The sequence below is a fragment of the Homo sapiens genome, chromosome 3 (genome assembly GCF_000001405.40).
Source record: "Homo sapiens chromosome 3, GRCh38.p14 Primary Assembly".
In the NCBI taxonomy this organism is placed as follows: Eukaryota; Metazoa; Chordata; class Mammalia; order Primates; family Hominidae; genus Homo; species Homo sapiens.
This window is the reverse complement of record NC_000003.12, coordinates 106,386,735-106,404,331: the sequence shown is the minus strand read 5'-3', so window position 1 is coordinate 106,404,331 and position 17,597 is coordinate 106,386,735. Positions and strand designations below refer to the sequence as shown.

General features: G+C 34.8%; 1 long non-coding RNA gene across 1 annotated transcript in view; it reads left to right on the top strand.

Moving 5' to 3' along the window:
* LOC101929485 (uncharacterized) overlaps positions 1-17,597 on the top strand; it is a 254,397-nt gene that overhangs the window by 228,180 nt on the left and 8,620 nt on the right. The gene's annotated exons all lie outside the window — the stretch shown is intronic.

Here is a 17,597-nt window from a genome sequence, read left to right as displayed (position 1 = left end):
GTGCCCTCTGAGTTCAAAAGAGTGAGAGTCTTAGAGGAATAGCAAATACGGCATAGAAATAGCTGCTCACAGAGGAAGGTTAGCACCCAAATAATTTCTCTAACTGGTCTTAACTTCCTTTTTTCGAAATAGAACCAAGCAGTGTCTTGGCAGCACACATTATAATGGTGGATACCTAATATTTTATAAGCAACTTGGTTGTTTCTTAAGTTGGCTTTAAGCCTGAAAATAATATGCATTTGGATTCTAAAGAGGGGCCAATAAGAGAAGAACTATAACAATTAAATCGAGGTGTAACCCTCTGCTAACCCTTTTAGCTGTCTCAGCCTGACAGTCTGAATTTAGCAGGGGACCTGCTTGGTCTGCTCCACCCTCCTGGCAAGTCAGCCATCTGGCCAGTTGCACCTGTCTCCAACAGCCCTACCAGTCCCATGAGCCCTATGTTGGTTTAAATGAAGTAGGAGCTAATGGGACTTGAATCACATCTGGAATGGAATGGAAATGTGTGAAAAGGAGGGCTAAGCAAAGCCAATTAGCTAACCCAGAATGGATAAACTAAGCAGAGTAATAGGAAAGAATGGCAGAACAAGGTTAAACAAAATAGCAACCAAGATGATGAATGTACTTTGAAAAAAGAGGCAGACAAGTTTATGGTCTTGGGGGAAAAAACAGAACTCCATCTGCCTATTCAAGAGCCTCCAGCTTCTCATTCATATTAAAGATAATTGTGAACTATGCTCTAGCACATTGCTGAAACAAATTGCTTCAGGGAACAGGCTTCCACTCTCCTAACCTCCACTTGATGACTTTCAGTACATAATGAGCGCTGCGCTGCTGTCAAAGGAGCAGAATCTGTGCCTAGAAGAAGTTAAAGTGAAAGAAGAGAAAAGCGTCCAAAATAGCATATCATTCCTCCCTGCCGAAGCAATGATGATTTTTAAAGTAGAAATTGCCGAAATCGTCTAGATGTAAATTTTATTTCACTTTGCACATTATTTTGCACCGTCACAACCTCTTAGCCATTACTGTGGTTTCAGCCATTGCTTACTGCCCCTCTTCCTATTTGCACAAGTTCACACCAGCAAAATATATAGCACATGATTAAAATTGATTTTGTTTTCTATACTGAAATACTAAGGAATATGCAGCATAGTTATATATACAGCACGCACACTGTTATGATAGTTTGTGAAGTTTCACAACCTTGTAATGGCTCTGAGTGTAAAACAATAATAATAATAATAAATAATTATAAATATATAAATAATAAATAATTAATCTCAGATGCCAAAAATACTAAGACTGAGTCCTTTTGGAATCATTTGGTCCAAGAGGTAATCAGTAAACAAATAACATATTGAAATTATTTTACATGTGTATGCATGTGTGTATATTCAGTTATCTGTTTATCAATTTTTCATCAGGACTAACAAGTCAACAAAAAAATCTACATGTCTTAAGTGTGGATTATTTTTGTTAATCAGGATGTCTCTGAGCTACACATTTTAGAAAAAAATAAGAAGCAACTATATTCTGTGATCTCATAGTTATATAAAAAGTTCACGTGCCCCTACATTTACTAAGTTTTGGTTCTTCATGCAAGTCCAGAGAGAGACAGAGTAAATACATTCTTTTAAAGAGCTTAGTTGTGGCAAAATCTAAAAATTTTCTGCATTTTCAAGCAAATTTTCTTTCTCCAAATATTTTAACTCATATAACCATTTTAACTCATATTATAACTCATATAATCATTTGGGCACTTAGCAAAAGTAATAATTTTGGTAGAAGGGAAAAGTTTTAAAATCTGAAAAGAATGATTATCGGTGGATATGTGTTGTGTGTGTGTTTGTGTGTGTGTGTATGTGTGTGTGTTTAATTCCAGATAATGTAGATACTGTCACGAATTTGGTGATTATATTTCCATCTTCACATTATATTTCTGTACTTCAAGTCTTCGACTCGAAAGGTTTTATTTGAACATCATGGCAACATATAATAAAACAGGGAAATTAACATAAAGTCACACAGTGGTTTCCTTGGGAGCAGTTTGAGATATACAGGTTTTGTTTTGTTTTTGTCCTTCATATGAACTCCTGAGATATCTTTAGTCCATCAGAAAGAAAAAGAAAACTATTTAAATTTGTGAGAACTACTATCAGAAAGAAAAGCAAATGATTTGACTGCAGAAATATTTCATCTAGAGATTATCATTTCTTTATCTTATCTGGTCCCTCACACACACAAACATGTGCATAAAATTTCTATATTGACATTACTTTTCCTCTTTTAAATTGGCCTGATGTATTTCTTTTATCAGTGACTTATAAAAGAAAGCTTTGATTTAGAAATTATTGTAGGCACTTAAAAATTCATTTATTTATTGTAAAGTTCTCAAATAATCTTCCTTTATCTGGGATATTCTGCATAAGTAAATAAAGTGAGACCAACAGGGCTAAATGCCAAGAGAAACCAGTCATTAGACAAGCCCAGAGAAGTTGCCAAACCTTCTACACTATTAGACAGAAGTGAAGAGAAAGGCTGAAATGGTAATGCAAACACTGAATTCTAATTTCATGCTTTTTTCAAGACTCAAAGATTTTATTGTCATTAGGGAGAATTTAGGATAAACTGCATAATAAAATACTTGTTTGGAAGTCAAAAGGCTTAAATTCAGGTCTGAGAGAACTTAAGGTGGATTTGTAGATTAATCAGTGTACTTAATCTAATCTATATGAATTTTCTTTGTAAACTCACTCATTTTCTACATTTTACTTCTCTGTATTTGTGGACTAAAAACCCTCTCCTTTTAGCTATTATAGGACATGAATTCAGTGATATTAATGAAAGAATTTGTGGAATTTGAACTTCATAAAGAAATGTTATGATTATAGTCATCTTCACATTTTAAGAAGTTCTTGCAGATACTAATAGGGCCTCACAATAGAAGCAAAAAAAGAATTTGAAAATTGTGACAAAGTACTGGTTGATTTTAAAGCAAATTAAGGAGTTGTTTTGGACAAAAGCTATGCATCTATCAGAAGAATACATTACTCCAAGCATGGGATTGACTTGAAGATAGTGTATTAAATTTAAATATTAATCGAAGTGGTGCCAATCCTTCTTTTGACTATAGGGAATTCAGGGTGAAGTGAATAAGAAAGGTGATTATACTGAATAGTGTTGCATAGAAAACATCATGGCTTCCATATCTCTTGATAATTGGATATCTCTTTCCTTCTCATTCTCCAAGGAGATAGAGATTTCGAACATGACTCTTCCTCTGTCATTCTACCAATAAGAATAATAAAAATAACAATAATAACACAATATAGTTGAGCCACTAGCAGACGTGGATGAATCACAAAGGTTAACAGAGAGCCGTAACATTATGGAAACACGGCCAACAATTTTCAAAGTATGCTAGGTGATAACGAAACCTATGATTCGAAAAACTTCAATCATTCTAAAAGCTTAGTAACACGGACCTAAAAGTTAAGAAGCTGCCATCCTAACATAAATGATGTGGGACAAGGCAATAGTCTGAAAGAACTGTTTTCTTACATATACTTGTTATGGGTTATTGTCAGTTGTTTAGACCAGAGGAACAGAAGACTGAGATTAAAATCCTGTGTACTAACTGTCACTTCATGTTATATAGGTGCTTCTCAATCTCTCTCAACAAGAACTGCATTATCTCTGAAGATCTTACTTTAAAAGCCTCCTCTTTCTGTTACTAAACATATCTCATCTAGGAAAAACAATGTAACTAGTTTCAAAGATGTAGTTTCCAATGTAGTAAAAACCAAGTAAAGAGTACTCCTTTCCAAATTTTATTTTAAAGTTATTTTCATTAGATATGGAATATTACAAAACAGTAAAGTAAAGAAAGACTGCTCTAAAGTGAAGATACAAAACATCATAGTCAAGACTATTATAATGGAACATATTTTAGAAGCCAAAGCTTCAAAGCCATTGGACGGTGCTAGTTTTCACCTTTGGCATACCTTGGCAAACACAAAGATGCCAAGTCCAGAAATATGACTCTTCTCACCCAAATTTGCCACTAGGCAATTCCTTAGTAATGCTTTTTAGCCAGAGATTTTACTGATGCCATAGGATGAAAAGTATGAATACCAATAAGCCCATCATTGATAATACCATCAAGTCATATTGCTTTCAACTACTGGGGACAATTTCTTCATTAAATCCCAATTCTTCTTCTGGACTAAGTCTTTTTCATAACCAATGAACCAGTAAATAAAGCCTCACATTGTTTAGAAAACTATGCTTGTCATGGAGCCTGCATTTGTCAGACTATACCCCCAGAGAATCCCATTGATCAGGCCTTGTCAGCTTGCATTACTCAGGCTCAATAATACCGCCTCACAGGCTTCAGCTCTGCATCCCGCCTGGAGCTCCCTGATAGACTGTTCCTTCTTGCACAGATTCCTAAAGGGCCCTTTGAGAAATGCTTTATTGAGGACTCTGGTGAAGAAAACAGCACCTTAATGAAAGACATGTACGAGAGCATAATTAACTACTATCCAGCGCATTGCTGTTGCCATCAGTAATTTTAACCGTTTGTCACTTATGAGGATGACAAGGAAGCTTTTTTTAACTGAAAACATAGGTGGTAGGAGAAACTATTAAAGTAAAATTAAAGGATGGAGTTTGTTTCAAAAGCAGTTTTAATAGAAAGGTGTTTCTATCTTCTTTACTTAAACAAGCCCCAATCCTTGATCTCTCAGTTGGTTTAGTTAGATTAAGGAAAACAGCCTCAGGAGAACAGATAGCAAAGATGGAACAAGGCCAGAGATTGTCAGGAAAACCATTTAGCACAAGAAGTAAATGTTTGTTTTAATTGTGACAAATGTTGTTAGCAGAGGATCAAGATGTGGTATATTTAAGCTCTTTGTCATTGCAAAAATCCTAAACACAGAACTAGAGTGAAGGATCACTTAAGTCATGGGAATGCATCCTGGAATTAAAACCGACAGAAATGAAAAGCAGAGATTGATGACAAATAAGCTCTCTTACAAGGTTCTCCCTGTTCTTTTCCAAAGTTCCTAACTCTGGCTTCTTTGAGAGAATTAAAATAAATGAAAAGATGAAAAGAGTGCTTATTTATACCTGCTTTAAAATGCAAAGCACACGTACACACACACTCCTCATTCAGCCTTATTCTACTATTATATGCAGCTGCTGCTCTGCTTCTAATTGCCTTTGCAGAGCAACAAAAGAAGTAAATGACTTTGTTTTAGTTAAGTTGCAAATCAGATTCCTCCCAGCTATGGTGGCATCTGTGGGCTTAGGACCCCTTTAGAATGACAGTGTCCAATTACTGACAAACATTGCTCTTCTCCCAAAGGAAAACAGAAGTCAGGGGATCTGTGAGGCAGCACATGGCCAACAATTTGGGGGTTTGGTTACCTTTTGACATCACAATATTTATTTAGTGCTAATAGTGGTAAAATATGTTCCTACTCAGATGGAATTATAAATGTACAGGTTTTAAAAAGCCAGTGCAAATGCTACATGAAAGGGATGTGTCCAGTTAAGTTCCTTAAACAAATTTATAGTTATTTGGAAAGCCCTATTGTCAAGATGTTCTTTGATATTTATGGAAGAATCACACATTTTACCCTGATTTTCAGGATCTCATCTTTTCCCCACTAAATACACAGCTCACTGAATGTTTATGCCAGTCCATAATTGCATATTAAAAATTCTGAAATCCAAGAGCTTCAAAATCTTTAAATTTATTTTAGTGTATTTTGATGGTAAAATCTGACTAACTTGAACTTAATTAAGCATTGAAACATCACCTTAACTTATAAAAGACATGCATATTCTTCATTTATCTGCTTAGTATTAATATTTATATTTTGTATTCCATTATCTTTAGTTATAGGGCAGTATCCTAGGCTTAGAAGGGGTATTATGTAATATACACTATATTCCCTGTATTGCCTTTGTCAGATTGGAAGACTACTTAAAGCTGAAGTATCTGTCTCCAAGGAATTTATTTGACTGTGAAACTGTACTCTCATTCTACCACCTGATCCTGATTTTTCTTATAATTATGTTGTTTAGCTTGGAAGTTTCAAGATAGCAACTTATCTTGTTGTTTTTTTTTTCTGTAAAAAACACAGACCACTTCTGCTTCATTATTTCTTTTCCATTCTTTCTTGAGGCTCCCCGACCTAGAGAAGCCTCAGGCTAACCCTAAAAGTATTAAATAAAGACAATTCTAAAATCTTAACTATAAACAATCTAAAATAAGTAAGTTATAATAAGCTTAATTTTACTTAAAATGTACTTATTCATGTACATTTATCTCTAAAAAGTTATTTTAGATTGAATCATTTGACTCACAATAATATTTGAAAAACATGTAACATTTGAATTATCATTAAAATAATAAAGCAGATAGTTACGTGTTATATCCCCTCCATATGTATCAAAAGTTTCTGTCCAGATTTAACAGATAAGAAATAGCTTGGAAGTTATGAGGAGATACTAATTGAGAGTAAATAGGGTTTAGGAAACTTAAAGTTTGACCCTTCTAAAATTATAAAGAATATTCTTTTATATGAAACTTTCCATTGTGGTTTTTAGGAGTGTTGAATCATAGATTCCTAGTATTAGTAGCCTTTTTTAAAATCTACTTTTCATGAGAAGTAGCCTCTGGACAACATCCTGACAAGTGATCATCCAGTATCTCCATCATGGGATAAACTGTGTCCCAAAATTTGTATGTTGAAGTCCTAATGCCTCTCCCCATTTTGGAGTTCAGGCACAACAGACTAGCATTAACATTAAAATAGAGATCCTAAGACTGACAGAACAGATTCTGTAGCAATAAGATACGAACTCCAACGTGACTCTGATATAACATCAAATGACAGATAACAAGCCCTAAAAGGAAATAAAAATATTTTACCCCAAGATATATTTCTTTGACATGTTGTGAAATAGCAGGGCAAAGCTGTCTCTTATAGGGACATTTTTCATTCTGTAGAGAATCTCCTTCCCTTACTAGGTCTTTCCTAAAGTATAACAACTTCCCTAGCAGACATTCGCATCTATTCTCTATGAAGCCTGCTACCAGGAGGCTTCATCTACATGACAAGAACCTTGGCTTGCACAGTCCCCACCACCACCACCCTTACTGTAACTCAAGCTGATTTCACCTTTTCAGGAAAAGTTCAATGTTTTCAACAAATTACCAGTCAGGAAACCTTGAAATCCACTTGGAAGCACACTCCTTCCCCTGCTCCACCCTTTGCCTTTTTGGGCCAAACCGATGTATAGCTTACATGTATTAATTTATGTCTTTGCTTGTAACTTACATATCCCTAAAATGTATATAATCAAGCTGTAACCCAACCACCTCAAACACTTGTTCTTAGGACCACCTGAGGTTCATAGGTCATCATCTTTCTATTAGCCCGTTCTCACACTGCTATGAAGAAATACCCGAGACTGGGCAATTTATAAAGAAAAGAGGTTTAATTGACTCACAGTTCCTCATGGCTTGGGAGGCTTCAGGAAACTTAAAATCATGACAGAAAGCACCTCTTCACAGGGTGGCAGGAGAGAGAAATGAATACAAACAGGGAAATATCCTCTTATAAAACCATCTTGTGAGAACTCACTCACTATCATGGGAACAGCATGGGGCAGCAGCCCCCATGATCTGATCAGCTCCCATGAGGTCCCACCTCCAACATGTAGGGATTACAATTCAGATTACAATTCAAGATGAGATTTAGCTGGGGACACAGAGCCAGTCCACATCAATTTTTAACCTTTGCAAAATAAACTTCTAAATTGGTCGAGATCTGTCTCAGATACTGTTTGGTATATACTTCACAGGCATACTTAGATTATTATTAAATTGAATAACTGGGGACTATAGCCTAGCCAAGTTTGCACCTAAAGTTGACCATCATGACCATGTAATATAACAGAATCATGGGGTAATATTAAGACACAAAGCTCATAAGGGCCATCTATGAATAATGCCTACCATACCACTGAAATTCCTAAAGCCACAGAGGAAATAAACCACTTTACAGAAACCCTCTCATACGTCAGAACACTTTAGATTTCCTAGAGTACAAAGAATCCCACTAAGGATTAGCTCACATTAAAAAATTATATAATAAAAGAGGAAACTACCCACTATGAAGGAAAGTTTGTGAAAGCAACAGAGAGGGAGACTAGCACCCAAGAATTGGAAATAATAATTTATAAACTAAATGATAATATTAATACCCAAGTGGTAAATGATTAAGAAGATTTAAAAAATAGAAATCACAATGGAAACACTAAGGGTATAAAAGAAGGGTAGGTAGTTTTAAGTTAGGAACAAAGTCAACATTAAGAAATACAGCCCCTGAAATTATAAGTAATTACAAAGACAGTAAGTACATTTTATAGACTGTTAGATGGTAAATTCCGTTAAGACAATAAGCCAGGAAAAGATGAACTTGAAAAAAAAATCATACAAAATGTAACTCAGAAGTTAAGTTAGAGGTGACCTGAAAAGAAGTTTTGAGTCAAAATGATAGATTCAGTAACATATGTCTAATACAGTTCCGTAATAAAGTCAAAGAGTGAGAGGCAATATTCAACAAAATAAAGGCCCAGATTTTTTTGAGTTTAAGAAATATAGATCATTAATCACATAGAAATCTTTAAAATAATTCAAAAAAATTACAGGATACTGCAATGGCCTGAATAGTTGCATCTCCTAAAATTTATACATTGAAACATAATCCCTAATATAATAGTATTAGAAGCTGAGGTCTTTCAAAGGTGATTAAGTCATGCGGGCTTTGCTTTCATGAATGAGATTAGTACCTTCACAAAAGAGACTCCAGAGAGCTGTCTAGCCCCTTCACCCTGTGAAGATGCAGCAAGAAGGAACCACCTATGAGGAATGTGCCCTTGCCAAACACTATGTCTGCCAGCAGCTTGATCCTGGACTTCCCAGCCTCTGGAACAGTGAGAAATAAATTTCTGTTGTTTATAAGCTACCCAGTCTATGGTGATTTGTGATAGCAGCCTGAGAAGACTAAGACAGCTATATACAAAAATAATAATTTGGCTAAAAGTAAAAGTTTCCAGAGAAGGATAAAATAATATCTGGTGCCAAGGTAAACTTTGAACTCCACTCATTTCTGTGGACTCAATCAAGAAGTTAAATGATGCTTTTAGTCAAAGACTCTGAGAGTTTACTATTTAATAAATAGACTTTATTAGCAAGGAACCTGTCATAAAAACACAGTAGGATGCAAGAAGAAATGAGCAAAGAAACTGATGAAGACGTTTATAAATTTAAACAAGCACTGACTGGCACTCGTACTACTTATACTGCCACTAACACTATTAATAATACTAATAATAACCAATTGGGAAGAGGTAATGATTACTAACAAGCTGAAACTAAAATCTTAAAAAATAAATATTAGGAAATATGGGAAGATAGAGCAGTACACAAAATTTCAAATTAATTGTATCAACAGGAATACATCATATCATGTTGAATGAAAAAATGTTGAAGTAATGTAAAGTAATGTTGAATAAGGAAAGCAAGATGCAGAAGAATACGCCTGGTATTATACCATGCCTTTTTATTTTAAAATACAAAAACTATACAAAATATTGCTTTGAATGTGTACATACATGATACAATTATTTTTAATGGTTGGGAAGGTACATGCCAACCTTAGGGCACTCAGTTTGTTTGAAAAGGGTGCGAAAGAAATGAAAACAGGGAAGGGGTACAAAAGTGTCTTCAGCTGTTAGCAGTAGTATTTTATGTCCTAAAAAATTAAAATAATTAAAATGTGTAAAACAAACATTGCAAAATACTAACAATTTTTAAATATTGTTCTCTGTTATGCTATATTGTATAATATCTTGTGTATTTGAAAGAATTATTTCTTAAAAATAAAGAAAAATACATTGAGCATCAATAAATAAGATGAATTGGAAGTGCTCCAAGAAGTAAAATCAGGAGACAGTTACAATTCTATTGCAGTAATCCATGCAAGATGATCTATGACATGTCCCCAAAAAGGGAAAACAAATGAGACTTTTCAAATGTAGAATCAGTATGACTTGATAATTTTGTATGAGTAGCAGACAAGAAGGTCAAATAAAGAATGAGTCTGAGTTTGTAATCCTGGGAAATTAAGTGAATGTTAGTGCTTTCAACTTACTGAGAAACAGAAAGCTGTAAAGTCTTGATGGAATTGTCCAAAAAGTATCTGGAAATATGAATCTGGGGTGCAGACAGTTTGGAGTCAAATGAATGAATGGATGGATGGATAAATGAATGGATGGATGGACTGATAAATACTTGTATACCTATTCATCCATTCTCCCTTTATTCTTTCCAGTCTTCTTTCTTTAGTTTCTAATAAATCAAATGGCATAACTTGTTGCCTTTAAAATTTTATTTGCTTCATTTTATATTACTTTAAATTATTTAATATGTTTTATTTTTCTTTTGAATTTAATTCTTTTCCTTACACACTCTGCTTGCATTTCTTCCTGAAGCTTTTAAAACATAAACAAGGAATCATGAAAGGAGCTATAGATGATTATAAAGAGCAGAAATATGGACCTTATAATCAGAAAAGAAACCTATGCCCACAAATAACTGAACATTTCATAATTTAACTCAATCAACTTTCCTTCAAGCTAGAATTTTCATTTGAAGTTATTACTTTTCCCTCTCTGCTGTCTCCAATTATAGCAAACTTTCACCAGTTGGTAATTCAAAGAAATATTCTCTAACAAGGAATCTTTGCTTACCATATGAGCGTTCTCTAGATTATAGTCTGCTGATAGAAATTGATATAAACTGTTGGAGAGTAGATCGCCTTTGAAATAGTTAATTTGAAAATTCATTAAAAATAATTTTGAAATGCTCACACTATAGCTTTAAAGATCTTTAAAAATCAAAACTCTTTTCTTTGCATGTAATTTTATTAATTTGCCTCCTCTTTAGAATGGCATTTCTCTAATCTTTGACTATTTGATGTCCTTGAACCCAAGTCTTTGAGTACTTTTAATTCCTCTTTGATGTCTTTTCCAATTCCTCAGGAAGAACTCCACCAAAGTTTTCCACATGCTGAATAGTGAACAGTAAATAACCACACACTTCTGGAAATGAACTTGATACTTGTCATCACTAACTGTCTCTATTAGTTCTTAAAGTAGGAATTGTGGTTAGTAAAATTCCTCTGTAGCAACAGTGGGATGTTTAAAAGATGCTAGTCACAGAACTACAAACTTTCTGAGCTAGAAATATAGTTAAGATTTTTACTTTATAATAATACAGTTTTTTTCAAATAAAGAAAGAAGTCGATAGAATCAAATATATTTTTTTCTGAAAGGAATTGATGAAGAGACATTAATGGAGAAACGACCAATAATAATATATTAGGATAAAAAGTCATTCTACCTAGAACTTAGGCAAAGCTGCTGAACACAAACATGTGAATTGTTTCACATTGCAATCTTTCATTCATTCAAAGCAATGACAGAGCACTAACCTCATGTTAGGACCTATACCAGACCCAATACTTTGATGGCAGAAAATTCTTCCCAGCAAAGTTGCAGCAGATGGCAAAATATGTCGAGTAGACCCATCTTTTCTGCTCCCTCAAGTTTCGTTTATTCAAACACTGTCTTGCAGGATTATAGTTAAATTACACTTGTGAAAAATTATCTCATTCTTTTCATTGAATAATTTATTAATATTAAAAATTCCTCACCATCAGTCAGCCAGAAGCAATTGCCCCTCCCCATGGTGGGGGGGTGGAGAGTGTCCCAGAAATGTAGGGACCATTGCTGTTTCAGTCCACTTTACACTGACTTCCAGGATGTGTCCCAATAGCTCCTCTATACCAACCTCTGTTGCTTCTTTTATTTAGGCTACCAGGGAGTTTCAAGGAGGATGACTGAGAACGGTAGTGGAGACCTTGAACATTTAAGTCAAAGGCAGCATTCCTATTCTAGTGTCACAGTGTCATATTTCTCTTGAGGGCCCAGTAGTAGCATTAAGGGTTTAGGCCTTCCCTTGTTCCAGCATTAGCTTTCAAGTCTCACTATATTACCACCACAACACATTCCACTATCAAATCTCAAGTGGATTCTTCTTTAAGTATTCAAATATGTTAGATTTGTCTCAGAATATTTATCATAATTTATAACTATATATTCCCATAGCTATTTAATTAATGTCTTTCTGTTCATAAACTATAAGCTCCATGAGGTGAGGGAGCATGTCTGTTTTCTCACCACTATATTTTCAGAGTTATCAAATAGCTGGAAGAAAATACATTCTATTTAGAATCTGCGGAATAAACTATGATGATTGAAATATTGCAGGCTATTAAGTAGATGGAAAGCTTAACAAAGATGTAATATCATATTTATCTTTCAGCCTCTTACTGTCTCTAGCCTAGCATCTTGCATAAAATAGGCACTCAATATATTTTAAATTGAAACGAAGAGAAAAAAAGCCATGATTAAGCCAGCTACTTGAGAATTTTTTCAGGATTTCCTCTGTGTGACAGGGTTATGGTCACCAGAAGCTCTGGAATCACATCATGGTTTAAAGGCAAAGAAAAAGCTTTCCTTAGTGTTCATATAAAATGCCAGATAATCACTCCAATTTGTGTAACTTGGGTCGTATGACTTTCTCTGAAGCAAATTCTGTGGTCAGGAGGATGAAGTGTTGGGATTGGTTGGTTAAATCCCCACTATGATTGGTAACACAAAGAAAATCAAATGGAGTGAGAAATAGTTGATTCCTATGGAAGCTGGGTTGTTGTTACCCAAAGAAAACAGAATGTGAAATATTCACCATCACTGCCATCATCAACAACAACCAGCACTCACTGCAGTGTGTATGGGTATACAGTAAGTTGAAAAGCTGAGAGTGTGGTGAGAAGGTGAAACATTTCCATTAACTATTTGTAATCTGAAAGGCTATACTTAATTAGCAAGCAAATTACTTCTAAATTTATTAAGGAGACAACATTTTTTATGCAAAATTAGTCTCAGGCAAACTTCACTGTTAATGTTTAAAACAAAAACTAAACATAACTGCTGTTTGGGCTGAAGGTTGTGACTCTTTTATTATGAGTGGTGATAAGAAACTTGCTTCTGCTTTGACTTCAAAACTTTTTTTTTTTTTTTTTTACTTTAGAGTCTTAAGAAATATTGAGTTTCCCTAAAAACATTCCCTAAAAACTTAAACAAAACTATTGTGGATTTTTAAAAGCCACTTTAAATAAAAGTGCTGACTTTTTTCTTTTCTAAATAGAAACCTTATGTTATGCATGGTGATGAATGTAGGTTTACAGTAATTCCTTTTAGTAGGACTACCCAGGGAATCAGATTAAAAAAAAAAAAAAAAAGGTTACTCTTTTGCAAAAACTAAATAGAAGACCAAGCATCAAAGTTTGGAATTATGTTTGAAATGATTTTTAAATGGATTGAATATTGGTTTAATTAAGGTTCTCCCTCTGTGAACATGAAGTTCCTCATATTTTTCCTATTCGCTTCACCTCTTCACCTAAAGAAAATTTAGCTTTTTAATCCTAAGAAATAGAGATTTGCTAATCTTTCCAATTGCTGTTGCATTTCTCACTGCACATAAAAGCTTTTGCTGCAAAGTGAAATATACTTTCTTCTCTGTTTTAATTCATTCAATTCCCTTCTCAAAACTTTATTATTTGTGGCTGGGTGCAGTGGCTCATGCCTGTAATCCCAGCACTTTGGGAGGCCGAGGTGGGTGGGTCACGAGGTCAGGAGTTCAAGACCAGCCTGGCCAGCATGGTGAAATCCCATCTCCACTAAAAATACAAAAATTAGCTGGGCATGGTAGTGCGTACCTGTAGTCCCAGCTACTCAGAAGGCTGAGGCAGGAGAATCACTTGAACCCGGGAGATGGAGGTTGCAGTGAGCCAAGATCGTGCCACTGCACTCCAGCCTGGGCAACAGAGTGAGACTCCATCTCAAAAAAAAAAAAAAAAAAAGGAAAAAAGAAAACAAACAAAAAACTTTATTTATTTGTTTACCTAACTTATCCATAGCTCCTTTAGATGGCTGTTAACGTTGCACTTTTTCAATTTTTAGTTTTAGAACTGCCATTCTACCTAATATTTATCCCCAATTTTCCCATAACCCTGGCCACTCTGGACATTCCATTATGCCTCAGTTTCCGGAGAGATGTGTCTCCAGGTGACCTGAATATGTTCCTTTTCTCTTCTGCTGATTACTGACAACTGACAACCTTCCCCAGAAAAAACTCGGTGTCTGTCTTCCTCTTTTCATTTCCTTTCAAATTCCACCTGGCATCAAATTCACATCTAATCACTTTTAGCTCAGTGTCTTCTTTCGACACTCTAATTAATTCTCTTCTTGACCCAGAGTTAACATTGTTCAAAGAATGTCTCCAAGTGGTTAGGCTATAGTGTCAAATTCTGATATAAAAAGAAATGTATTTATAGAATAATTTTTATTCTAAGACTTTGTCATTTCTACTGGATTTCTGAAGCAAACAACTAGAGAATGATTTTTTGACTACAGCCCCAGTTATACTGATGAACTACTAATTATTTGAGTGATTTTGGACATGTTCTCTCTCTTTCATTATAAAATGAAAGTAGTAAATCAACTAATCTATAAGTTCTCTTGAAGTCCCAAAAGTCAAGGTATTAGGGTAATTAACACTAAGTATCATAGCAAATAACCTCAAGATTTTAATAGCTTTACACAATAAAAGTTTATTTCTTGCTCACATCCCAGCACAGTCCCAGTCAGGTAGCTTTCCTGGTTGAAGCTATTCTAAGCAAAAACCCGGGAATCCAGGATCCAGGATTATTTACCTGATTTGTTGGTAAAGTTAGTTCATGTTTCTTCTGCCTGAATGTGTAATATTTCATAGCTCGTTATCATCTCTACCAGTCAGTGAGAGGCGATATTTTCAGTGGTTTTAATTAAGACATTAAGACAATAACATAGCAATTATTGCCTGAAATAAGATTTGGGTCTTATATCTGTACAGACGAAAATTTTCAATGCATAACCAGTAAGCATTGTTAAAAGCACCTAATAGTGAACCATTGCAAGTTCATATTTCCAAGATAATTATTTCTAAAAGCCAAAACTCTCCATATTAAATTGTATGAGGTTCATCCAATAACTCAACGCTCTGTGCTGTTTCCTCATTTATTAAATATTCAGGTTATTTCTTTGGTCTCTTTATCTAAAATTGTTGCTTTATATTATTTAGGAAGGGATCCTCATATTTTATAAGTATCTCCCTAATTATAGCCAAAGATGTTTTCCTCCTAAAAATAAATATATACCTGTATAACAGGTTGAACAGTGTCCTCCCAAAACTTATGTCCATCCAGAATCTCAGAATGTGACCTTATTTGGTAATAGGGTCTTTACAGATGTAATTAAATCAAGATGAGGTCATATTAGATTAGGATGGAACTTAAATCCAGTGAATGGTATTCTTATATGAGGAGAGGACACACAGAAAAACAGAGAGGAGTCCATGTGAAGATGAACGCAGAGATTGGAGTGAAGCAGCTGCAAGCTAATGAACCCCAGTAATTGTCAGGAGCCACCAAAAGCTAAGAATAGGGAGGGAAAATTTTTCTCTGGGTATTCAGAGAGACCATGGCACTGCCGACACCTTGACTTCAGATTTCTAGTCTCCAGAACAATGAGAGAATAAATTTCTGTGTAAGTCACCAGTTTGTGGCACTTTTTATGGAAGTCTTAGAAAATGAATACAATCACTTTTAATTATGTTTTAACTGTTATAATTACTTTTTCAACTTGACCATCCTCACTAGAACTGTAAGTTCTCCAAGTAACACCTTGTTCTGTAATGTATCCTTGGTACATGACCCAGAATCTGGCAAACAGGAGACAATTACTGCTCATTGAATTAAACAAATGAATAAATAATTCATACTATTCTGGTCCCATTATGCTGTGGATAACTAAAGTTTTTCAATAAAACAAGGAAAAGTCCTATTAAGATCCTCAATCAGCAGTTGTCAGATATCATCCTTACTAAGTTTTGCAGTCTTCTTTATACATAAGATAGGAATAAGAGTTTTTTGACCATCATAGTTTTTTAAAATACAGATGCTTGTATCACTCTTTTAGTGTACTCCTCTCTTGCTATGTCTGCAGCGGGTTAAGTGCATGTGGAAATTCTACAGGAGACTATGAAAAGGCATCTTGGAAGTGAGATTTCAGGAACAACATGGACAGTGGCAGCAAGAAGCAACCCATGCCCATGTTTATTCTGAGTTTTTCAAAGTCTTGCTTTGTCTCTGATGGCGAAACTTAGTCCATCGCACCATTTGTTTCAACCCAGTACAAACTGCCATGTAATTCTGAAGAAGAAATTAGCCAGTCTGAAGGTTCTATAACTGCATCATTACTACTGCAGCTACAGAAAACACTCTTAAATAAAGTCCTGCTGCTATATAGTATGAGACTAGTAAAGAGTGAGGTTCATGTCCAGGCTGACGTGCAGGTGCGATCTCGGCTCACTGCTACCTCTGCCTCTTGAGTTCAAACAATTCTCGTGCCTCAGCCTCCCGAGTAGCTGGAATTACAGGCAAGTGCCACCATGCCCAGCTAATTTTTTTGTATTTTAAGTACAGACAGGGTTTTGCCATGTTGCCCAGGCTAGTCTCGAGCTCCTCAGCTCAGGCAATCTGCCTGCCTTGGGCTCCCAAAATGCTAGGATTGCAAGCATGTAGCCTCCTCAAGTAAGAGACCTTTATCAGACAGGTAGTTAAGAAAGTAGCAATTCCAAGCATAAATTAGTAGTCTACATCACACTTTCTTGTATGTAGCAAAGATTTGTAGAAACAATTATAATTAATTATAATTTACCACATTGTGTTTTTTGTATTGCTATTATACAAAATCTTGAATAATACTTGAATGCAATTTTCAGTCTTCTCTCAAGATTTCTCAAAAGGCCAATTAACTGTCAGCATTCTGTGACCTTGAGAGCTAAGAGTTTATCTCATCTCAGAATGTGAAATATATTTTCTACGTGTTACTAATGCTGTGCAGTGATCTTGGTTGTGCCTCTTCTTTCATTACATGAAAATTTACAATCACATTAGGAAGGGTAAATTGAAGTCACATCATAATCATCAACAAATGAAGAATATGATAGAATTAGTCTCACAAGAGGTGAAAAACTTAACTTTCAAAAATTTAATGTATGCTGATCAAGGCAGTTTTTCTAATTCTAATAACCAAAGACATAGAAAGAAACTCCTCCTCCCATAAAGGAAGACTGTGCCTGTTTTATAAAACATGGAGTTGAACTCAGGGCAACTACAGTATCCAAAGATACTTGTTAACTTTAAAAAGGCACTGAAAATAAATCCACTTTAAGTTATGACCAAAATTATATAGTAAATAGTTAAAAGGAGGATGGGGCAGTGCCTAAATGAAACATTATTGTACAAATAAATTAAAAACTATGAGGTTCAATTTTATTTCATAAACTATAC